Source organism: Homo sapiens, chromosome 1 (assembly GCF_000001405.40).
Source record: "Homo sapiens chromosome 1, GRCh38.p14 Primary Assembly".
In the NCBI taxonomy this organism is placed as follows: Eukaryota; Metazoa; Chordata; class Mammalia; order Primates; family Hominidae; genus Homo; species Homo sapiens.
Window position 1 is genome coordinate 51,393,554 of NC_000001.11, and position 24,701 is coordinate 51,418,254.

General features: G+C 38.2%; 1 protein-coding gene across 8 annotated transcripts in view, besides 1 other annotated feature; it reads right to left on the reverse strand.

Moving 5' to 3' along the window:
* EPS15 (epidermal growth factor receptor pathway substrate 15) overlaps positions 1–24,701 on the reverse strand; it is a 165,004-nt gene that overhangs the window by 39,291 nt on the left and 101,012 nt on the right. For 5 of the 8 annotated variants that reach the window (NM_001410796.1, NM_001981.3, NM_001410797.1 and 2 more), the window contains 8 exons: positions 15,982–16,143; positions 14,582–14,779; positions 12,352–12,555; positions 9,866–9,979; positions 8,882–8,972; positions 7,365–7,400; positions 5,479–5,612; positions 828–894 (listed from right to left, as the gene is read on the reverse strand). In NM_001410796.1, the coding sequence (NP_001397725.1) occupies positions 828–894; positions 5,479–5,612; positions 7,365–7,400; positions 8,882–8,972; positions 9,866–9,979; positions 12,352–12,555; positions 14,582–14,779; positions 15,982–16,143 (1,006 nt within the window). The remainder of the gene's footprint in view (positions 1–827; positions 895–5,478; positions 5,613–7,364; positions 7,401–8,881; positions 8,973–9,865; positions 9,980–12,351; positions 12,556–14,581; positions 14,780–15,981; positions 16,144–24,701) is intronic. The other 3 variants (XM_017000618.3, XM_017000617.3, XM_017000616.3) reach the window with 1 other exon arrangement.
* Positions 17,330–17,530: a silencer, noted in NCBI's record as "peak220 fragment used in MPRA reporter construct". NCBI's record gives its function as "represses an SCP1 promoter by STARR-seq MPRAs in K562 erythroleukemia cells {active_cell/tissue: K562}" and the evidence as "EXISTENCE:reporter gene assay evidence [ECO:0000049][PMID:32103011]".

Here is a 24,701-nt window from a genome sequence, read left to right on the forward strand (position 1 = left end):
GTCACAATTAATACATCTGTATACTGAACAACTCACTCTGTATTCACCTAGAAAAATAAAGCGATCTATTTTCAGCATAATATTAGAGTATTTACACATTTGAGTTTACTTTCCTCAAATTTTCTGCTCTCCCATCCCAAATGATAGCTGGTCTGTTTATCTGTTTTGTTTTAAATGAACAGTAGAAAAGAAGCAGAGTTACTTTGTTGAAAAAGCTTTTTGTCAGACCTAATATTGAATCTTGGCTTTACCTGGTTCAAATCTATTAAACTGTACGATCTTGATGAACACTGCTTAATATTCTGGTCCTCAGTTTATGTTTAAAATGAGATTACTATTTAAAAAGTTATTAAAAGAATAAATAAAAAATTTTATACCATAAATGAAGTATGAAGACTGGATGCTAAAATAACATTTAGCTTTTCTCTGTATTATTAACAGAACCCATTTGTATTTGTAAAGCAATTTTCATTTTCTACTGGAAGCCACTAATCTTTTAACTTAGACCAAGATCCGTAACAGTCAATGCTGACTTTGAAGCTGCCAAGCAACACAGCATTTTATAAAGCAAAACATTTTTATTGGTTTACTGATACTGGGTAGAGTTCATATTCTAGTGTAATATTCAACATGAATAATAAATGAAAGAATGAAAGATAAGTAGAAAGTGATATACAAATGCTTATTATTGGTAAATTACTATTGGATATAATTATGCAATAATTTTAAAGCTATAAATAACAGGACAAATATATTTAGAGACAAAGAAAAAAGAATCTTAAAAAAAATGTTTAATGTTCAATGAAGTTGATAAATTATTTATTTACCTGAATCGCTTGCTGCAACAACTGTTCCACCAGGAGCAAAAGGATCATTGTGCTTCAACGTTTCTACCTAAACAAAGCATACAAAACCATGAATGAGAGAGGCAACACTTCACAGCTGAAACCTCATCACCACTCCAAAGAATATATTCTTTACAAATTCTTAATTAATTAAGGAATATAGACATTAGGAACAAATGTTTCCCCATAGTGATCTGCAATCTTACTAACTGGAAATAATACATATTATTTTCTAATCTTAACTGTGAAATATAACATCTATTCAGAAAAGTACATGAAACAGATCTATGGTTTAACAAGTAAGTATCAAGTGAACACTTGTGTAGTCATCTCCCAGGAAACTGCCAATACCTCAGAAGTCTTCATGTGTCCCTCTATAATCACAATCCTGACTTTGGTGATATTCGTTTATTTTTTTCTTCATAATCTTGCTAGTTGTATAGATGTACACTGTTTTAACTTTTTACTTATTTTTTAGAGACAGGGTCTTGCTCTGTCACCCCAGCTGGAATGCAGTGGTGTGATCACAGCTTACTGTAACCTCAAACTCCTGGGCTCAAGTGATCCTCCTGCCTCTCTCCTGCCTTAGCCTCCTGAATAGCTGGGACCGCAGGTGTATGCCACCATACCTGGGTAATTTTTGTTATTATTTGTATAGATAGGGTCTTGCTATGTTTTCCTCAAATCCTGGCCTCAAGAAATCCTCCCACCTTGGCCTCTGAAAGCACTGGGATTTTAGGTGGCAGCCACCACTAACCTTTTATCTTGGAATAATTTACATTTACATAAGAGTTGTAAAGATAGTACAGAGTTCCCATGCACTTTTCACCCAGTTTCCCCTAATGTTAATATCTCACATAATTATAGTACATCTATTAAAACTAAGAACACTGGTACAAAACTATAAACCATAGATTTTATTAGATTTCACCAGTTTTTCCATTAATGTCCTTTTTCGATTCCAGAATATCATTTTACGTTTAGAATGCACACACTATTTTAATTCTCAAATATCCTAGTACTTAATATCATAAAATGTTACATTTCTATTTTCTAATTGTTATCTAAAAATCATTCTGCATTCTGACCCTCAGAGAGAAAACACATATACACACATACACACATACACACACACACACACATATACACAAAGATAGCTTTTTGCTAAGATCCTGCTTTCAACAATAAGCTATGTAAAAGTCTGGGATCAAGAGCAACTGATCTTGCTAAAGGTGAGGATGTTACCAGATGCCAGCGATTCTGGCTTTTAACTGTCTTCCTACTTTATACTTTAGTTTTTAATCATAGTCAAACAAATTGTATATCTAGGAAGATAACTGAGTTTCCTCTTTCTGGCACCAGGCTCTTTTTAAGGGGCTAGATGAAAGACTTGGCAAACAGGTAAAAAGAGTGTGAAAAGAGTTTCTGAACATTTATATGCAACTCTGATGCATGATTATCAATGTCATTTGTATTACAGACTCTATTTCCAATTATCAAGAAGTTGGATATTACAAATAAATGTCAAATAATACTGCCAGAGCTAATGTATAAATCTCCAAGTTAAAAAAATTAATTGTAGAGAAAGGTAATGTTAACTGGGACTAACCTTCTCTCTTTATAAAAGAGAGTCCATTAAAACTACTAGCAGAAAGAATTAATACTAATGAAGTTTTTAGAAATGAAAACTATGAATGATAAAAAGTAATGATAGTATTAACTGAGGCCAATTATACTATTATACAACTAGCACACTAACTTAGATATCTGCAGAATAAACAGCAATTAAAGAAAAACTTAAACTGGTCTATATAGCGAGATAACTTTCCATGTTTCCTAATATGATAGTCATAACTCCAGTGTAAGAGAAGGTCACTGACATAACAAGTCACCAAGTACAGGCTGAGCATCCTTATCTGAAATGCTTGGGACAAAAAGTATTTTGGATGTTGGGTTTTTTTTCAGATTTTGGAATATTTGTGTTATACTTACCAAGTGAACATCCATAATCTGAAAACGTGAAATGCTCCAAAGTCTGAAACCTTTTGAGTGCTGACATGATACTCAGGAAATGCTCACTGGCACATTTCGGATTTGGGGTGCTCAACCTGTATTATTACTTCTTCTCTTTGAGAGAAGAAAAAACTAACAGGCTGTGTTTTAAACAACAGCTTGCAGATTTGATTTGCCATCACAAGGAGAAAGGGAAAGGGCATAACCACATGTGTGTCAGGTTTAGTTTCTAGTCCTTCATCATATACTGTGCAACCACCCTAAAAGGCCATCAGGATAGCAGGGGGAACAGGATAGATTGTGCAGCCCATGAAGGAATAAGGGGCCACAAAACTCTATGTCAGTTTGATAATTGGGGAGTTTAGCAGGGCAATTTTTTAAAAATTTCCAGATTGTATTGGTGAAAATCTTAGATTTTGGCTTGAGTCAAGTTCTACCAGTTACTAACTTACTACCAACTTAATCTATCTTTTTTTTTTTTTAAATTGAGACAAGATCTCACTCTGTCACCCAAGCTGGAGTGCTGTGGTACAATCATGGCTCACTGCTGCCTTGACTTCCTGAGCTCACACAATCCTACCACCTCAGTCTCTCGAGTAGCTGGGATTACAGGTGCATGCTATTACACCTCTAATATTTTAATTTTTTTGTAGAGACAGTGTCTCACTTTGTTGCCCAGGCTGGTTGTGAACTACTTGCCTCAAGTGATCCTCCTGCCTTGGCCTCCTGAAGTGCTGGAATTAGAGGTGGGAGCCACCACACCTGGCCTCAACTTAACCTACGTAAACCTCATAGGATTACTGTGAAAAGTAAATGAGACAATGCATATAAAGAGCTTGGCACCATCCCTGGCACACAGAGGAAATTAGATAAACTGCAGCTATTATTATATTGCCAATCTGGTTTTTTGTTTTGAATGGTGAAATTACAAGCTGTAAAGCAAGGACAATATTCCTTTAGAAAACTGGGAATAAAAGTCAGTAAAACAAATGGTAGAAAAATCTCATGGGGGACAGGACAAGAGGAATGTATTCATTTTTAAATTAGAAGAGCTAATTTAGCTTTCTTGCTCTTTAGATGATAGGAGAATGAGAGGCTAGAATAAGAAGGTGAGAGGAGAAGAATTCCAGTAGCAGCAATTTTAGAAGAATTTGGCAAATGGGTCCACATTGCAAACTAAGTGCTATAGGAAAACAGAGTATCCAGCAGCCCAGGGAAACGAAAAATATTCAGTCACGAAGGTATCTGTCCAGTTTTTATTCAATGGAAAACACCAGTTCTTAGCCAAGCAGCTCTTTACTGAATACAAAAAAGAAGCAACTTTCAATAATACAAAACCTATTATCTTTAAAATAATCAATTACATTTTAAAGGAAATATTCTTAATCTAATAGTACTAGAAGACAAATTTTTTGCTTCAAATGCTTCTCAGTTAACTGGTCCTTTATAGGTTCAGTTTACCTACAGACATGAAACTGTGGTCTCAAAAACGAAGTCTCAAAATACAAATTAAAAAGCAAAACCAAAAACCTGCAAAACCATTCCTAACTATTGAAATTGGGTAATGGATGCATGGAAGCTTGTTAAAATATTTCATTACATTATTCTCCTTTGAGTATTTCTAAATATCCACAAGATGAAGATTTTTTTTTTTTTTTTTGAGACGGAGTCTCGCTCTGTCACCCAGGCTGGAGTGCAGTGGCGCGATCTCGGCTCACTGCAAGCTCCGCCTCCCGGGTTCACGCCATTCTCCTGCCTCAGCCTCCTGAGTAGCTGGGACTATAGGCACCCACCACCGCGCCTGGCTAATTTTTTGTATTTTTAGTAGAGACGAGTTTTCACCGTGTTAGCCAGGATGGTCTCGATCTCCTGACCTCGTGATCCGCCCACCTCAGCCTCCCAAAGTGCTGGGATTACAGGCGTGAGCCACCGCGCCCAGCCATGAAGATTTTTTTAAAGCCTCCAGATAAAACAGCAACTAGCTATAGGACCTTAAACATGTTAATTTTTCTAAGTCCCAGTGTCCTCATTTTTAAAATAGGGATATCAACACCTACTTTGCAAAATTGATGTGAAGATTAGAAACAATGAATGTAAAGCACACACCAGTACCTGGATCAGGCATGTGGTTATTAAACAGTGATTGCTGTAGGTATGTACATTCTCAAGAGAGCTTGACATTTAGTGAGAATTTGTACTTTGCAGAATTAACATTCCAGATGTGTCTATGAAATAACATAAACGATTTTATTTTTCTAAAATTCTTTTAATTTTCATTATTTCAATAATATACCAAACATTTCAGAAAAGTTTTATGTAAGATTGGCTTATAAATTTCCAATCATTTTTAGTATCCTCAATAGGATAAGATTTAGTCTCTTGAAAGATGAACATCACTTTTGGACTCCGTTCAGTCATTCCAGTTAATTCCAGTGGGTAATCAAACTATGAAATACCAGTCTGAACCAAAAACTAAATGAATTGGGATGAGACTGAAATTCTTATATGGTCCATTAGAAGTAATCTAAATGAGGGTTCTTTCATCACTATGTATTTCAAGAAACTTGCTTAGGACACTTATTATCCATTTAACTTAACAGTTTTTAATTCTCCCACTTACCGATGTAATACTGCTATTGTTGGCTGCACTGAAAGGGTCAGTGCTTGAAGTGGCAAAAGGATCAGTAGATTGCCTGAAGAAACAGTCTGATGCAAATGGATCTGAACCTTTGAAAGGATCACCACCAAATGGATCTAAAAAAATAAGGCACGAATATAAGAGACAAAAAAAAATTATTGCACTAAATTTCCCATCACTTGAAGGTATGATCAGTGCCTTAATTAAAAGACAGTCTGGGGCCAGGTGCAGTGGCTCACGTCTGCATTCCCACCACTTTGGGAGGCTGAGACAGGCAGATCACTTGAGGTCAGGAGTTCAAGACCAGCCTGCCCAACATGTCAAAACCTCCTCTCTACTAAAAAACACAAAAATTAGCCAGGCATGGTGGTGCGCACCTATAGTCCCAGCTACTCGGGAGGCTGAGGTGGGAGACTCACTTGAACCTGTGAGGCAGAGGCTGCAGTGAGCAAAGATCTGCCACTGCACTCCAGCCTGGGTGACAGTGAGACCCTGTCTCAAAAACAAACAAACAAAAAGACAGTTTGGGCCAGGTGCAGTGGCTCACACCTGTAATTCCAGCACTTTGGGAGGTTGAGGTAGACGGATGACTTGAGCTCAGGAGTTTAAGACCGGCCTGGCTAACACAGTGAAACCCTGTCTCTACTAAAAATACAAAAATTAGCCAGGCGTGGTGGTGCGCGCCCGTAATCCTGGCTATTCGGGAGGCTGAGGCATGAGAATAATAGCTTGAGCATGGGAGGCGGAGGTTGCAGTGAGTCAAGACCGCACTACTTGTACTCTAGCCTGGGCAACAGAGCAAGACTGTCTCAAAAAAAAAATCCAAAAAGACAGTTTGAAATACTGTAGAATCTAAGCTGAGTACTTTTTATTTCACAGACTCCTTTGCAATTTTGATAAAAGATACAGAACCTTCCACCTAATAAACTTATTTTTAAAATTAACATATAATTTCAAGGGATCCAATTTTAAGTCCCCTTATTCTACGCTACCGTAACTAAAGAAAACACAATAAAAACTTCTAAATGTATTTTTCTCTCTGAGCTCAAAGCTAACAGCCAATAGTTTAGAACAGGTTTGGGATGCAAAACTAAATGGTAAACAAGATTTGCATTATTCTAATGAAAATTCCCAGAAAAAGAATATCTCAAAAAGCCTGATGTTTTAGTAATTCTTCAAGATTCTCTGCCTCTAATCACACGTGTGGGCTATAATCTTAGGAAAACAAAATTACATTCTAAACCCTGAAGCAGTATAGATCATTATGCTCACCAAACCTTTAGTTAGTAAGGAGGAATCAGAATAAATATTTAAAGCACCAAAGTCTAAACACTAATGTCATTTTTAAAAAAGTAAAGCTATCGGGCACAGTCGCTCACACCTGTCTGTAATCGCAGCACTTTGGGAGGCTGAGGCAGGAGGACTGCTTGAGCCCAGGAGTTCGAGACCAACCTCGGCAACACAGTGAGACCCTGTCTCTACAAAAAATAAAAAAAAATCAGTCAAGTATGCTGGCATGAGCCTGTAGACCTAGGTACTCAGGAGGCTGAGGCAGGAGGATTGCTTGAGCCCAGGAAGTCAAGGCTGCAGTGAGCCATGATCACACCACTGCATTCCAGCCTGGGTGACAGAATAAGACCCTGTCTCAAAAACAAAAAACACCAAAAAAAAAAAAAAAAAAAAAAAGAAGAAGTAAAAGTAAAGCAACAATTCATTAAGCAAAATCAAAAGAATTTACTACTCTCTTTCTGAAAATGCCAGGCACATAGAGCATCTTACTGGGGCTTCAGTTTCAGACCTAAATAACATAAGCTTATTATTAAGCAGAAATGAATGAAAGCTAAGATGAAACTCAATAAGATACTGACCGATTTTTCCAAAAGGATCATCCTTGAAAGGATCACCTGTGATAAAATAAACACAAAGAAATCCAAATAACAATATTTACTGTGGTGACACCACTACTTAAAGAGTAACTTTCAAACAAAAGCAAAGCAAAGTTTATTTCAATAACTTCACTTCACAGTAGATAAAATAAGGAATGTCATTGACCTTATGAAATATACAGCCAACTATACTTACCTTGATCACAAGTTGAGGTTACGGATGGAGGGGAAGACATTACAGCAAAAATTTTACTAACAAAATCTCTACTCTCCACAAGAGTACTGGGAGGGTATTATCATCACCAGTTCAGAAATAAAGGTACTGAGCTTTACTGAAGCAAAAAAAAAAAAATTCTTACAGGATTGAAGAGTCCAGAAATAAATCCTTACCTTTATGGTCATTTGATTTTTGACAAGCGTATCAAGAACACAAAATGGAGAAAGGACAGTCTTTTCAACAAATGGTGTTAGGACAACTGGATATCCACTTGCAAAAGAATGAAGCTCGACCTCTATCTCACATCATATACAAAAATAAACTCAAAATGGATCAAAGATCTAACTGTAACAGCAAAACTATAAAACTCTTAGACAAAGACAGCATTAAATCTTTGCGACTTAGGTAATAGTTTCTTAGATGACACCAAAAGCACAAGTGACAGAAGAAAAAATAGATAACTGGACTTCACCAAAATTGAATAAACACTTTTCCAAAGAAGATACACAAATGGCTAATAAGCATCTAGAAAGATGTTCAACATTAGTCAGTAGGAAAATACAAAGCAGGCCAGGCGCAGTGGCTCACACCTGTAATCCCAGCACTTTAGAAGGCCGAGGCAGGCGGATCACCTTACATCAGGAGTTCAAGACCAGCCTGGTCAAAATGGTGAAACCCAGTCTCTACTAAAAATACAAAAATTAGGCCAGACGCGGTGGCTCACGCCTGTAATCCCAGCACTTTGGGAGGCCAACGTGGGCGGATCACGAGGTCAAGAGATGGAGACCATCCTGGCCAACATGGTGAAACCCCGCCTCTACTAAAAACACAAAAGTTAGCTGGGTGTGGTGGCAGGCACCTGCAATCCCAACTACTCAGGAGGCTGAGGCAGGAGATTAGCTTGAATCCGGGAGGCAGAAGTTGCAGTGAGCCGAGATTGTGCCACTGCACTCCAGCCTGGCGACAGAGCGAGACTCCATTTCTAAATAAATTAATTACATAAATAAATAAATACACACATACATACATACATACATACATAAAATTAGCTGGGTGTGGTGGTGGGCGCCTGTAGTCTCAGCTACTCAAGAGGCTGAGACAGGAGAATCGCTTGAACCCAGGAGGCGGAGGTTGCAGTGAGCCGAGATCGTGCCACTGCACTCCAGCCTGGGCGACAGACTGAGTTGGTAGGCTATTGAAACTGAAGCCTTGAATCCTTAGTTTATATATTAAAAAGTCTTTTTTTTGGGTAAATCTATAATATAAAAAAAAGAGTACTTACTGCCAACAAAAGGATCAGACTGGAAAAAATCCAAGTTTGTATCTGCAACTGGACCTGTCAGCGAACTTGAGTCTACATTAAATGGATCTTCCTAAAAATAATTTTAAATTAAAATTATTTTTTAGAAACCAAAGTTTTAAAAGGTAACATTTTAAAATAAAATAACACACATTCAGGTCATACACATGCTTTGAAAAATCAACTGATGGGCCAGGCACGGTGGCTCACACCTGTAATCCCAGCACTTTGGGAGGCTGACGTGGGCAGATCACAAGGTCAAGAGATAGAGACCATCCTGGCCAAAATGGTGAAACCCCGTCTCTACCAAAAACACAAAAATTAGCTGGGCATGTGCAGCTACTCAGGAGGCTGAGGCAGGAGAATTGCTTGAACCTGGGAGGTGGAGGTTGCAGTGAGCCAAGATCACACTACTGCACTCAAGGCTGGGTGACAGAGTGAGACTTGGTCTTGAAAACAAAAGGAAAATCAACTGATGGTAATGTAACAAATATCTCTCTAGTCATAAAGCACCTTTAACACATTTTTCTCTTTCCTTCACCTTAACATATTTTTCTCTTTCCTTCACCTAAAATAGTGTATAATTCATCTGAGGAAAACAGTGATAAGGACATTTTTTTAAAATATCATTTAATTTTTAGAGATTAGGTCCCTCTATGTTGCCTAGTGCCTCCAACTCAGGCTCAAGCAATCCACCTACTTCACCTCCTGAGTAGCTGGGACTACAGGCACTTGCCACCACATCCAGCTATTAAGAACATTTATTTATTTTATATGTATAAATTCAAGGGGCACAAGTGGAATTTTGTTACATGGCTATATTGCCTAAAGGTGAAGTCGGGGCTTTTGATGTATCTATCATCTGAATAATGTATATTGTACCCATTAAGTAATGTCTGATAATTCACCTCCTCCTGTCCTTCCACCCTTACAAGTCCCCAATGTAAATATAAAATCATTTTTTACCTCTTTTGAATGTCTATTATTGTCGAGTTCAGAACAAACTTTTTCAGTAACAGCTGTAGTCACCTCATTTTCATCAGTCACACCAGAAGGCAGTAGTTCAGGACTACTTCTTGCCTACAAAATATTAATGCAAGTAGATTAACAATATACTTTTTGACATGGCAGAGAAAACTGACTAAAGATAACCAAAAACTATTTAAAAATAAAAAAAGACAAGCAGAATGTATTCATCAAATAACTTCTCCTTCTATAATCTTTTTTAGGGAAATGGTGTCATCAAGCATCAAAGTCACTCATGTCAGAAACCTTCAGGTCATCTTTAATCCTCAGAATATGACTCCAAGTCTTGCTCAGTCTACCTCTTACCTCTTTTTCAAATCCTTGCCTTCTTCTCCATCCTCACTGTCACTATCAATCACTTATAGTACTATCATCTTTGGTTCCAATTACTATAGCAGTCTTCCTTCCAACTGCTTTCCTGCCTCCAATACATGTATTTCCAATCTCTTCTCCTTATTGTAGCCAAACTAATAGCTCTAAAATGTGGATGTGATCGTGACCCTTCTGGTTAAAAGTCCTTCAATGGCTTCCCATTGTCTTCTTCATTTAGACGAGTGGGTGAAAGACTTAAGAAGTAGTAGGGGCAGGCCGGATGCAGTGGCTCACACCTGTAATCCCAGCACTTTGGGAGGCCGAGGCAGGCAGATCACAAGGTCAGGAGATCGAGACCTTCCTGGCTAACACGGTGAAACCCCGTCTCTACTAAAAATGCAAAAAATTAGCCAGGTGTGGTGGCACACGCCTGTAGTCCCAGCTACTCGGGAGGCTGAGGCAGGAGAATAGCTTAAACCCGGGAGGCTGAGGCAGGAGAATAGCTTGAACCCAGGAGGCAGAGGTTGCAGTGAGCTGAGATTGCGCCACTGCACTCCAGCCTGGGCAACAGAGCGAGACTCCGTCTCAAAAAAAAAAAAAAAAGTAGCAGGGCAATAGCTACTTTATACCACCCTTATCTATTTGCAGGATAACCTAGTAATCTGCCTTTTGCGCTTGAAAGAATATTTTATAATGCATACATGACTGCACTGTGTAAATAAAATCGAGTCTGTTAACTTTTCACTTTTAATACCTCTCAAACTTCTATTCTTCTCATTATCCCTTCTACGGGTACAGTCTCACTCTCTAATCCGTTTTCCACATTTCTAAAAGTTAATCACGTCACTTCTTGCTTAAAATTCTTCAATGGCTGTTCATTGCAGTAGGATAAATCCCCCAATGCTTTAAGATGAATCTAAATTTCTCATCTTCTGGCACTTTCTGACCTAAAATTGGTCATTTTTATCCAGGTGCACATGACAATCACCCATAGAGTGTGTTTTTAAAATATACATATCTGGCTCTATCCCAGAAACTAGTTCAGCAAGTTTGGGGAAAGGGATACACATTTATACTTTGACAATCACCAGAGGTAATGCAGATGCCTACTAGAAGCGCCTCATCTCTTACCAATACCCTCTCCACCATCACAAGATATCCTTCAGAACTTCTCAAGATTCTGTGCTGCATGTATTCTTCCACCTTGTACCTATACTAATACTGTTTTCTCTGGCAGGAATGTATCCTCCTCTTCTTTGCTTAACCACTTCTCACTTGTCTAAACTCGCAAAGCTTTCCCCAACAAAATCTTTATGAACCCCCTCCAAACTGTCCTAACTGAAAATTCTGCGCTTCCTTTAGCACAGCCCTTTAACACAGTGTTACACTACTACACTGTAGGCTGCTTGAAGGAAAGACTGAGGTCTCTTGTCTCTGTAGCTCTTATATTATGTAATACAGCACTCTTGCACATAGTTGGTACTCGTCAAATAATTGGTAAATGAATGTCCTTAACACTACGTAATAAAAATAATTTTAGCTTTTGGTGAGGGTACTTAAAAAAAAAGTTTTACTCTATAGAACCACCATTTTAAAAACAGGCTCTACAAAAAATAAATTAGCTGGCTGGGCGTGGTGGCTCACGCCTGTAATCCCTGCACTTTGGGAGGCCGAGGCAGATGGGTCACTTGAGGTCAGGAGTTCGAAACCAGCCTGGCCAACATGATGAAACCCCATCTCTACTAAAAATACAAAAAATTAGCTGAGTGTGGTGGCACGTGACTGTAATCCCAGCTACTCAGGAGGCTGAGGCAGGAGAATTGCTTGAACCCAGGAGACGGAGGTTGCAGTAAGCCAAGATCGCACCACTGCACTCCAGCCTGGGCAACAAGAGCAAAACTCCATCTCCAAAAAAAAAAAAATTAGCTAAAGTTATCTTTTTATACTAGTTAAAACGTACAATTGTTTGGATTAGGACTCTCTGCTTCTAAAAAGGAAATCTCAATTGTCCTCAGATGAGGCAAGGCCATGTATTTATATTAGATATAATGTCAGTGAAACTTGGATCTGCACAAGGAGGTTGATTATGAAGGTTATGAAAGTATTAGACTCACTGGAGATTCCTGGTGTATGGGCTCAGACTCTAGGTTGCTCTGGCCTTCAACATGTTCATTAAGGTTGGCTGTTTCACTGCTGCTGGTGCTGAGGCTGCAATAATCTGTAGCTCCGTTTACAAGAATGCTGTGTGGGCTACTGCACCAATTTAACTGACTATTATGATTTTCCAAATCTTTCATTTCCATCAGTTTCATTTGCATCTGCCAACACAAAGAAGAAATATAGAACAGAATTTATTACTAGAAAGACATGTAACATAAAAACGCCCTCCTCCACTTCCTGACGGGCTAGGTGTGGTAGCTCATGCCTATAATCTCAACACTTTGGGAAACTGAGGCAGGAGGACTGCTTCAGCCCAGGAGTTCAAGACCAGCCTGAGCAACACGGTGAAACCTCATTTCTACAAGAAATATAAAAATTAGCTGGGCATGATGGAGTGCACCTGTAGTCCCAGCTACTCAGAAGGCTGAGATGGGAGGATCACTTGAGCCCAGAGGTCAAGGCTGCAGTGAGCCATGATCACACCACTGCACTCGAGTGACAGAATGAGACCCTGTCTCAAAAAAATAAATAAAATAAAAATGGCTATACCTGTAGACTTGGTCTAGGATACATTTGCTTCCTTTAAGAAGAATCCTCTGGGAATGCTACGTGACTTAGAGAAAAGATTCAGTAATTTCTGACAATAAGTATTTCTCTCTTGAAATTTTAGTATACATGGATTTTTTTTTTAAAGAGATTCAAAAAAAGAAAATACTTTAAAGAATACCCATTCATCTGGTAGCATTCTCACTACAACAACTCTTTCAGGTTACCTGTTTATTGAGTACCTACACTGGGACAAGAACTGTGCTAAATGATACGGATTTTTAAAAATGTGTAAGTTCCCAGACCAAAACCATGACTCTGCTAGGGGAGACAGACATATAAGCAAATATGCAGGGAAAAATCTTATTATTGCTGTAACATAAATACAAAGTCCAACAAAAGCAGGATGCAGAAAATACCATAAAGAAATAAGAATTTAAGGTATATCTTGCATGACGAATGAGTAGGTAGGTACTCAGCTGCCAGATAACAGGGGGTAAGGAAGCGCAAAAGTGAAGGACTTCATTATATGTAATAACTGAGCACACTGGACTGGGTTTTAGAAGAACTGGATTTTAGATGTAGCTCTTTTCAAGGATATGTAACCTTGAGAAAGTTACTTGAACTTCCTTGGCTTTAGTTTGTTCAAATTCATAATGAAAGAAATCAACTCCATGATCTCTGTGTTTCTATCCTTTTTTTTTTAGTTTTTATTTTTTGAGACAGATTCTCACTCTGTTGCCCAGGGTGGAGTGCAGTGGTGTGATCTGAGCTCACTGCAACCTCTGCCTCCCAGGCTCAAGTGATTCTCGTGCCTCAGCCTCCCAAGTAGCTGGAATTACAGGCAGGTACCACCATGCCCAGTTAATTTTTGTACCTTTTAGTAGAAACAGAGTTTGGCCATGTTGGCAGGGCTGGTCTCGAACTCCCGGCCTCAAGTGATCCATTGCCTCAGCCTCCCAAAGTGCTGGGATTACAGGCATGGGCCACCACCATGCCGAGCCCTAACTATCTTATCATTCATTAAAACATTAGTCTTCATGTAGGGAAACCTGGAAATAAAGCAAAGGATCTATACATAAGACCAACTATAACACTGCAAATTTATCTACAGAAGGAACAATTTCCTTAAGAAAAAAGTTTCCAAATTAGCAAATGTGAATTCAAAATTAGAATCACAAAACAGAAGAAACTAGGTTATTGTTTATAAAACAGGCAACACTTATGGAGCATTTATGTACCAAGCACCATGCTAAAATGTCTTACAGGTTTTGCCTCATTAATCCTCACAGTGGCCCTAAGGGGTAGGGTATTTATTAATCCTCCAATTTTGAAGATGAAGAATCTGATACTAAGGTGATTTAGCTAGTAAGTGGCACACCAGTACTTAAACCTAGACCATCTAGCCACAAAGCCCACACTCTTAATCACTACTCCAATGATAATCATCAGATAGATATACAAGATGTATGATAGTTTCAATATATAACAGGTGACAAAAAAACCTATTGTATAAAATGACTGAAAAATGAACAGTAAACTAGGCAAGAGGTTGAAGGAGCAGAAGTTGGAAAGTATAACTGACTAAAGGACACAGAGGATCCATTTGAATATATTTCTTGCTTTACAAAGACTTACTGAACTAATTTCCTGTTGTGAATCTTGTAGGTGCTGCTGAAGAGGTTCCAACTGAGCCTTCCCTGACTCTACACTCTCCTCCAATTCTGCTGTTTCTTGCTGTAGACGGCTCAGCTCTTCTCTAGCTTTTGCCAATTCTTCTTCGTAAGTGGAGATCTGCGATTCCTGACTAGTTAATTCAGCTTTCAGAGAAGAGATCTATAATGTGAAAGTGAATGAGAAGAAATGGGGATTAAAAGAAGAGATGTCATTAAAATGTTCCAAAATGCAATACATTTATTTGTTTAGTTTACTATTTTGGTGTTTTTTTTGACAGCAATAGCAAATAATTTATTTAATTTAATTTTTGAGAGAGAGAGTCTTGCTATGTTGCCCAGGCTGGATTCAAACTCCTGGGCTCAAGTGATCCTCCTGAGTAGCTGGGACTATAGGAACATGCCCAGCCATACCTAGCCCTATTATGGAGTTTTTGATGTTGTTGTTGTTGTTGATGTTTTATTTTTTTGAGACAGTCTCACTCTGTCACCCAGGCTGGAGTGCAATGGCACGATCACAGCTCACTTCAGACTTCAGGCTCAACTTTCCCAGGCTCAGGTGATCCTCTCACCTCAGCCTCTCGAGTAGGTGGGATTACAGATGTGGGCCACCACGCCTGGCTTTCAATTTTTTTTTTTTTTTTTTTTGAGACAGAGTCTCGCTCTGTTGCCCAGGCTGGAGTGCAGTGGCGTGATCTCAGCTCACTGCAAGCTCCGCCTCCTGGGTTCACACCATTCTCCTGGCTCAGCCTGCCGAGTAGCTGGGACTACAGGCACCCGCCACCGCCCTGGCTAATTTTTTGTATTTTTAGTAGAGACGGGGTTTCACCGTGGTCTCGATCTCCTGACTTCGTGATCCGCCTGCCTCGGCCTCCCAAAGTGCTGGGATTAAAGGCGTGAGCCACTGCACCCAACCAGCTTTCATATTTTTTGTAGAGATGGGATTTCTCCATGTTTCCCAGGCTGGTCTCCAACTCCTGGGCTCCAGCAATTCCCCCCGCCTCAGACTCCCAAAGTGTTGGGATTACAGGTGTGAGCCACTGTGCCCAGCCAATTATGATGTTTTTTGATGTATGGTTTTCGTAAAGAAGGGTAACTGGGGGAGGGACAGAGGAGAGTTGAAGGTATAGGCACCATATTTCCAACAAAAATTTGGAAAAACAGTTCATTAACTGCCCTTCTATTTCCTCTAAAGAAGGCCTGTAATTTCTGGATGAACCTTGCTCCATCGCCCCCATGAACCCAAATGCTGACTGGATTGCCAACCACCACCATCAATAACAAAAAGTAGAGAATGTTTTCATCTTAAGCCAGGAAAAGCAACTAATGTATAGGTGCAGGCAGCAGGAAACAGCCAGACATTACCAGTTGGGCCTCCTCAGCACATTTCTTTCTGACTTCCTTGAGTTGCTCCTCCAGCTGGGCTTTCTGCTCATCCAGTTCATCAAGGAGTTCCTGTACCTGCTGTTTCTGGGCCTGTAGTTTTTGCAGATTAGTATTCTCCCTTTGAACTTCATCTTGAAGATCCTAAAATCCAAGAAAATTAATATATTTATTTTCTTTGCGGGCAGGGGAGGGTTAAGTTAGTAATTTTAAATCTACCTTAAGAAAGAATAAAGTCTTACTGAGTATACTGTGTTGATGAGACTAGGGTACTTAACAGCTTTAAATACAATCTTTACTTGAAGACATCTTTCCTAGAATCCATATTTAGATATTCAATTTGCTAACTCAAATCTGTCCTTGGACATGTGATGGGCTTTGCTAACATGTTGAAAATAGAACTCCTGGAATTTCCCCACAAATCTGTTTTAAGCTCAATCTTTCCCCTCTCAGATTCTCTGGTCAAAAAAAAACCCCACATGGAGAAACCCTGTCTCTAACAAAAATGCAAAAAAAAAAAAAAAAATTTAGCTGGGCGTGGTGGCGCATGCCTGTAATCCCAGCTACTCGGGAGGCTAAAGCAGGAGAATTGCTTGAACCCAGGAGGTGGAGGTTGCAGCGAGCCGAGATCATGCATTGCACTCCAGCCTGGGCAACAAGAGTGAAACTCCATCTCAAAAAAAAAAAAATTAGCTGGACGTGGTAGTACGTGCCTGTGGTCCCAGTTACTTGGGAGGCTGAGATGGGAGGATCTCTTGAGCCCAGGAGGTCAAGGCTGCAGTGAGCTGTGATCATGCCACAGCATGCCCAGACTGGGCAACAGAGTGAGACACTGTCTCCAAAAAAAAAAAAAAGAAAAATTAATTCCAGGTAAATAATGGACCTGAATGTAAAAGTCTAACTTTAAAATGTGTAGAAGAAATGCAGATCTCAGTGTAGGAAAAGATTTCTTAAAACAAAAAAAGAACCATTTTGAAAATGTTATTTATTCATCCATGTACATACCAGACCTCATGCTTAATAACAAGAACTACAGAAATTTTTAAAAAGCCAGGCGCAGTGGCTCAGGGATTAATAACTCCGAAGTATCTGTCAGCAGGAGGTAGGCAAAGATTTCAAAGCGGGTGAGGTAAAACTGAACACAAATTTCTAAAAATAATATCTATTCAAAGGTCCCAACAGTCATTCACCAGAATAAGAATCTAAGAACAGAAGAGAAACTTACAGGTAAAAGGTCTCTGAATTACTGCATAGGTTACACAAGATAGCACCATTATGATAATAGCCAACACTTTAAATGCTACTTAAAATGTGCTAGGTTGTGCTCTAGGCTCTTTAAATATACTAACTTATTTATAGTCTATATGACAGATCTACGAGTTAGGTACTGATATCATTTCATATTTTACAGATGAGAAAACTGAAGTACTGATGTGTAGGTAATGTGTCCAAAGTTAAAAATAGTAAGCTATGGATTCAAAGTGGGTTCTGACTCCACAGCCTGAGCTCTTAACCACCATGTGACATACCATCTGCAGACTAAATGTCTCACATGTGTCACTATTTTTCAAATATATGCAGATGTTTCTGTGATTAAATAGAACACTGAACAATGCTTTCAATAATTGCTTTTTATCTTATATTTTCTTAACCAACTGGTTAGTCTAAAAATATCATGTTGCTTTCTTTAAAAAATTCCTTTAAAGCCCAGGCAGAGCAGGCAGACAAAAAGGGAAACTCAAAGGCAGTAGCCTTTGAATTCCTCAATGATACTTGAGGAATTCGGACAATGTTTGATGAGTATCATCAACTCTGCAAAGAAAGGCAAAAAGTGACCCTTGTGCCATGAATTGCTAACTCTTGCACAAAGGACTGATAAATGGAACTGTACAGAGAATTTAAGATACAGGGACACTTGATTTCTGGAAGAAAAACAATTTCTGTATTTTAATTCAGTCCTTATTTTAAGAGACTTGAAATTATAATATTGAAGGAGAAGAAATTTTAAATGAGGAAATAAGTACATTTTAAATCTTAGTTAAATATGCTTATGCCCCTTCTAAATTGAATTTTTCTTTATTGTATTATATAGAGTTTTGCTTTGCCTAGGTTTCTTAAGAATCAGATGTTCTCTCATTAACCCGTCAGGAAACAACAGAAGCTGGAGAGGATGTGGAGAAACAGGAACGCTTTTACACTGTTAGTGGGAGTGTAAATTAGTTCAACCATTGTGGAAGACAGTCTGGCGATTCCTCAAGGATCTAGAACCAGAAATACCATTTGACCCAGCAATCCCATTACTGGGTATATACCCAAAGGATTATAAATCATTCCACTATAAAGACACATGCACACGTATGTTTATTGCAGCACTATTCACAATAGCAAAGACTTGGAACCAATGCAAATGCCCACCAACGATAGACTAGATAAAGAAAATGTGGCACATACATCCCATGGAATACTATGCAGCCATAAAAAAGAATGAGCTCATGTCCTTTGCAGGGACATGGATGAAGCTGGAAACCATCATTCTCAGCAAACTACCACAGGAACAGAAAACCAAACACCACATGTTCTCACTCATAAGTGGGAGCTGAACAATGAGAACGCATGGACACAAGGGAGGGGAACATCACACACCGGGGCCTGTCGGGAGGTGGGGGACAAGGGGAGGCAGAGCATTAGGACAAATACCTAATACATGCAGAGCTTAAAACCTAGATGATGGGTTGATGGGTGCAGCCAACCACCATGGCACATGTATACCTATGTAACAAACCTGTACGTTCCACACATGTATCCCAGAACTTAAAGTATAATAATAATAAAAAAGAATTAGATGTTCTCTTTCTGATTCCTTTGACAAAAATGTTTATCAATTATTTACTATAATTTATTTTAAAAATTCCTTTAAAAATGCCAACACAATAGATGATCATGAAAGACTTTCCAGTGCTAACATTCCGTGAGTTTGTGTGATCACAGTTTCAAACTGGTGAACTCCTTTAGTACTTTATCATTAATTTACCAGCATGCCTAATTTTTTTCATGTCTAAATTTTTAACCTTGCCTACACTGTTAACTAATCCATACCATATAGAGATACGACTTTAGATATGCACATGGCATTGGCTCTGAATAAACCCATGCCAAAAGAGAAAAATGACTTCAATTTCTGTATCACCCAGTCTAGTAACTTCAGATTCATCTTTGATTTTCTCCATTCATACATGTCCTATAGATTCTACCTTAAAATCTCTCTTTAAGCTGTTTACCAAATTATTTTAGCTTTCATCGTTCCTTCCTTGACATACAACTGGGTTTTCTCCCTTTGTTTCTTCCTATTCCAAATGTCCAACTTGCTTAAAAAATAACTCACTGCAAAGGATATTTCTCTAGTCACTGTTATTTTTAAAATATGTGTTGTTCCCTCTTATCTAGAGGATTAAGTAAAACTTGCTGCAAGACACATTAAAACCTTCAGTTCTGGGTTCTACCTTCTTTTCCTCTCATATTCACCTGTGTCCCAGCCTCAGAAGACCCTATTCCTTCTCCAATAGACAACATATTTCAATGACCCTATGCCTTTCCACAAGCCATAACCTCTGTCTTCAATGTCCTTCCACACCATATGTACCTGGAAACCCACTATTGATTCTTCAGAATCCAGCCAAATTTAATCTCGTCTGACTCATCTTGGGCTTCCTTCACCTATGCTCAAACTCTACTGTTTGTTCCTAACCTCTACTGTCATACTTAATACACTGTAATCATAGCTAACCTCTAAATTACAAACTTCTAAAGGACAGTGTCCATGCTTCATCTTTCTTTGATTATCCAAAATCTTGTACAATGCCTAGCACATTCCAGGGGCTTAATTAAGCAATTACTGTAACTATCATAGGATTTTAGTATGTGGGAAAAACTAATGGGAAACACGCATGAGACTGACAGAAAGAAAAGACTTACATTCTTTTTACATAATGTGAAACACTTCACTATGTATTTAAACTATAGCTATTTATTAATACCCCAAACTGACCTATGACAAATGCTTTTTAAACTTTTTAAAATAATACCTACATTTCTAAACTGATTCAGTATTTTTATAATCTATAGACCAAGGCTGATCTGACATTTAAAACTTTCATTATTTGGAAATAATCATTACTGCTTTAACATGTCACTGTGGCATATACCTTTATTTTTTTAAGACAGGATCTTACTCTGTCACCCAGGCTAGAATGCAGTGGTATAATCACGGCTCACTGTAGCTTCAACCTCCTGGGCTCAAGTAATCTTCCCACCTCAGCCTCCCAAGTAGCTGAGGCTACAGGCATGTGCCACCACGCCTGGCTAATTTTTAAATTTTTTTGTAGAGATGGGGTTTTACCATGTTGCCCAGGGTGGTCTCAAACTCCTAGGCTCAAATGATCTGCCCGCCTCGGCCTCCCAAAATGCTGGGATTACAAACATGAGCCACAGTGCTTGGTCTAGTTCAGCTATAAAATATTTTAAAAGAATGTTACCTGCAGATCTAAAGTAATTTTGTTAGTTTGAAAATACAATCTATTGAGCCGGCAAAGTGGCTCATGCCTGTAATCCCAGCACTTTGGGAGGCTGAGACGGGTGGATGACCTGAGGTCAGGAGTTCGAGACCAGCCTGGCCAACATAGTAAAACCCCATCTCTATTAAAAATACAAAAAATCAGCTGGGCGTGGTAGTGGCCGCCTGTAATTCCCGCTACTAGGGAGACTGAGGCAGGAGGATCACTTGAACCCAGGAGGCAGAAGTTGCAGCAGTGAGCCAAGATGGCGCCACTGCACTCCAGCCTGGGCAACAAGAGTGAAACTCCATCTCAAAAAAAAAAAGAAAAAAGAAAATATAATCTATTTTGAATTCCTTACTTTGTTCATAAAATTATTATATAGGTTTATATAACAATATGCTGGTCCCAAAAGCATGTTTTAAATCCTAGAGGGAAAAAAGTTTTTTCTCTTTCCCTTTAACTAAAAATGTTCAAGAGTGGGAATAGGAAAAATATGTTATCTATCCCCATTAGTAAATACTCTAGTCATATTCCCCACCCTCCCTCATACCCCAAAGAAAAATATTCTTTATCTACTTCATGTCTCTAATAATATCTTTAAAGCCAGATGTAATTTTGATGTCTTTTATTGTAAATCCAGGGACAAAAAACACAATTTACCTTAAAAGGGTCACACAATATAAGAAAATGTCTAGGACATGATACTAAGTTTTAAAAGCTGAATACAGAGGCATATACAGTATGATCACAAATTAATATAAAGAAATTTATACATATTTGTAGAAAATACAGCAAAATGTTAACAATAGCTCTCTCTAGAAAGGCTTTTTACATCTTTTTCATACTTTTCTTCATTTTACAAATTTACCATGAACCCATGTTACTTTTATAATCAGAAAATGTCAAGTTTGCTGTTTTTTTTAAGTATCACATTGCTACCAATATAAAATATAAAAATACCAATACAAAAATATTCTGATGTGACTAAATTTTTATGTAAGAACTACCAATAATAGAATCAATGCTGGTTTCCTTTAATAAACTGAACTATTTTTCATAAATAATATTTTTAGTGAGCCACTTAAACACAACCTCAAAAGACAGGCTTATGTAAGAGGAAGACAAATAAACAAACCAATATAATATTTACTTCTTTCTGCCCTTTCTCTCCCAAAGAGCAAACACATTCATTCAAATTTCCCAGACTCACTGCCCTTTTTCATTTCTTAGCTTCAGTAAAAATCCACATAGTAATACAAAACTACAGGACTTAAAGGAAAGGTTACTGAGGAAATACCTAACATTAATGAGAAACTTCAAGCTGGAACGATGTCCATATTAAAATTCATTATAATTAATGTCTCTCTATGTCTATTTCTAAATATGAAAAAAGGTCTATAAAAATTCTGGGCCAGGCGTGGTGGCTCACGCCTGTAATCTCAGCACTTTGGGAGGCTGAGGCTGGAAGATCACCTGAGGTCAGAAGTTCGAGACCAGCCTGGCCAACATGGAAAAACCCCGTCTCTACTAAAAATAAAAAATTAGCCAGGCGTGGTGGCGGATGCCTGTAATCCCAGCTACTTGGGAGGCTGAGGCAGGAGAATCACTTAAACTTGGGAGGCAGAGGTTGCAGTGAGTCGAGATCGTGCCATTGCACTCCAGCCTGGGCAACAAGAGCAAAACTCCGTCTCAAAAAAAAAAAAAAAAAAAAAAAAAAAAAAAAAAATTCCAACACTAAACTACATACAAAAAGGCCTTCCTTTCCAGTATACAGAATTAAAATTATTAAACTGCACAAAATCAAAATGAACTCATGCAAATATACATGCTAATAACAAATTTCACTGGAAAATTATTTGTAAGGCTACCACCATCACAATGCAATTTCAATATCAATATCAGCATCTAGATATACTTAGCAACTTTATTTTGGTACAGATTGCTTATCCTGAGACTAAATTAAGGCAACAGATGTACCTCTCTCTCTCTTCCTGCTCTCTCCTCCCCCGCCATGCCCTTAACTAGAGCAGTGGAAGGTTCTCCTAACAAACAGTGTCTTCTGCTGAACTTGGGTAATTTTCTCTTTCCTAAACGTGGCCCTTGGGAACATCCTTTCCTGGGTCTGTGCACAGACTCAGCACTATCAAATGCCATTCCCTCCAGTGAATGACAGAAGACATTTGCAGATGCTTTCCTAGTTCTGCTTTATTCCCCTGATCATGGTCTACTTGCCTACTAGTGCCATCAACAGCAAAAGAAAGGAAGATAGCAGCAGCTGAAGCATGGCAAGGATGAAGTGAACAAAACTAGAGCAATATAGTGCCAAGGTTTATTTTAGAAAAATATCAAAGCAAGCCATATCCGAGGTTACTCATCTAGAAATTAAAGGATATTTGAGCTGGCAATCTTGGCTTTACTTAAAAAGAAATTTCAAGGAAAACGTCCTGTTTTCTAGAAATCACTGAAGTTACTGAAAATGGCAAATTATCTGCTATCCCTCTATCCCCCATGAAGTGCTATGGGGTAGTGGAAATAAAATTTAAACAAATACCTAAGAATTTTAGACATATGAAAAAATAAAACTTTCATTTTAGCAACTCAAGTCAGATGTACAACTGATGAAGTTACTTTAAAAGTTATCTGAAAAGTTAAACCTTTTAACTCTGTATTTTATATGAAACAGATGCAAACATATCATGTTAATAGTTCATATCAATATCAGTAATATATTTTATATATTATACATAATTATATAATTATTTATTTTTAAAAGAAAACCTCTATAAACTAACCTACAATTAGAAATAATCAGATACACTGTTTTATCTGATGGAAGTTTTAGGACTATTCTTAACATTAAAAATGTATCAACTATAGAACAAGATGTTTAAGTCAATGAACAGAAAGGAAGCCTAATAAACTAGGGTGGGTGTTAGAAAACCCCATTAACAGACTGCCTTTATTTCTCAATCATATGCTTCCCAGTATGTTCTAAAGAGCATTATGGCCAGAAAAAGAATGCTGAGCTCATGTATCTAATTTTATTTCTATCTAAGATAAGTCATCCCTCTTCATCTAAGAAAAAAACTAAGTGAATTAAAATAAAAAACATGGACAAGTACTCTGAATTACTGAATCTTATGATGAAACATAAATAATAGGGAGCTTCTTTTACATGAGGGTAATATGAACAATATCAAGAAGTCTGACTTTTCATGATAACTACTATGCTCTCAATCTTTTCTACCTATGGGTTCCAGTTATATTGTCTTATTTTAAATTGTATACACAAAACCAAAGTTTATTCACTTCTGCTGTGAACAGCTTCCTTAAATTTACCTCCATCTAACAATATATTGCCAAATATAATGAAAAATATGATCCAAGGCACAATTTCTAAGCCCAAGGAACTCACAATATATAGGAAGGAAGATATTGGAAGCTATACACATCACACCAAGCTAACACTACCAGGTAACATATGGTTCATGCCATATATAAGTGGATACGTATTCCTTCCTCTGGGAGTTCCAACACAGGAAAGACTGGTGTGGACCAAGAGACAGAGAAGGGAAAGTTTAAGACAAGCGGTGGGATATGAGCTAGGCTTTAAGGCATGAGTGGAATTCACATAAGCAGGAAAGTAGAGAACATTCTGGACTATAACAACAAAAGTTATAAAAGTGGGAATAAGAAGGAGAATATATATGGCACAGAGTACAGAGTCAGACAGTCAAAAAAGAGGAGGGTTTGTATTTCATCTTTTTCTCTGTCTCCAATAACCTGAGGTATGACACCCTCCCATCATTAATGGTGGCAGTGAGCAACAGTAAAGATTCCCACATCTGAGAGTCATGATACTAAATTGGTTTAGGAGGAAAGGCAAGAGCGAATGGAGTGAGTACTTCTGATATGACTTTAAGATTTTAGATATTAGGCGATACAGGTGGCAGTAGTGAGAAAGAAAAATAGGAAAGTTCAAACCAGAAGCCAAGTTTTTTCAATAAGATTCATTTTAGACACACGGATTTTCAAATGATAAACACCAAAATGGTTAACTGGAGATGTGGGACTGGCACTCAGGAGAGTTGAGAGCTTGATAAACATTTGGGTGTTATCAGCATATGGATGACAGGGGTTATGGAGAAG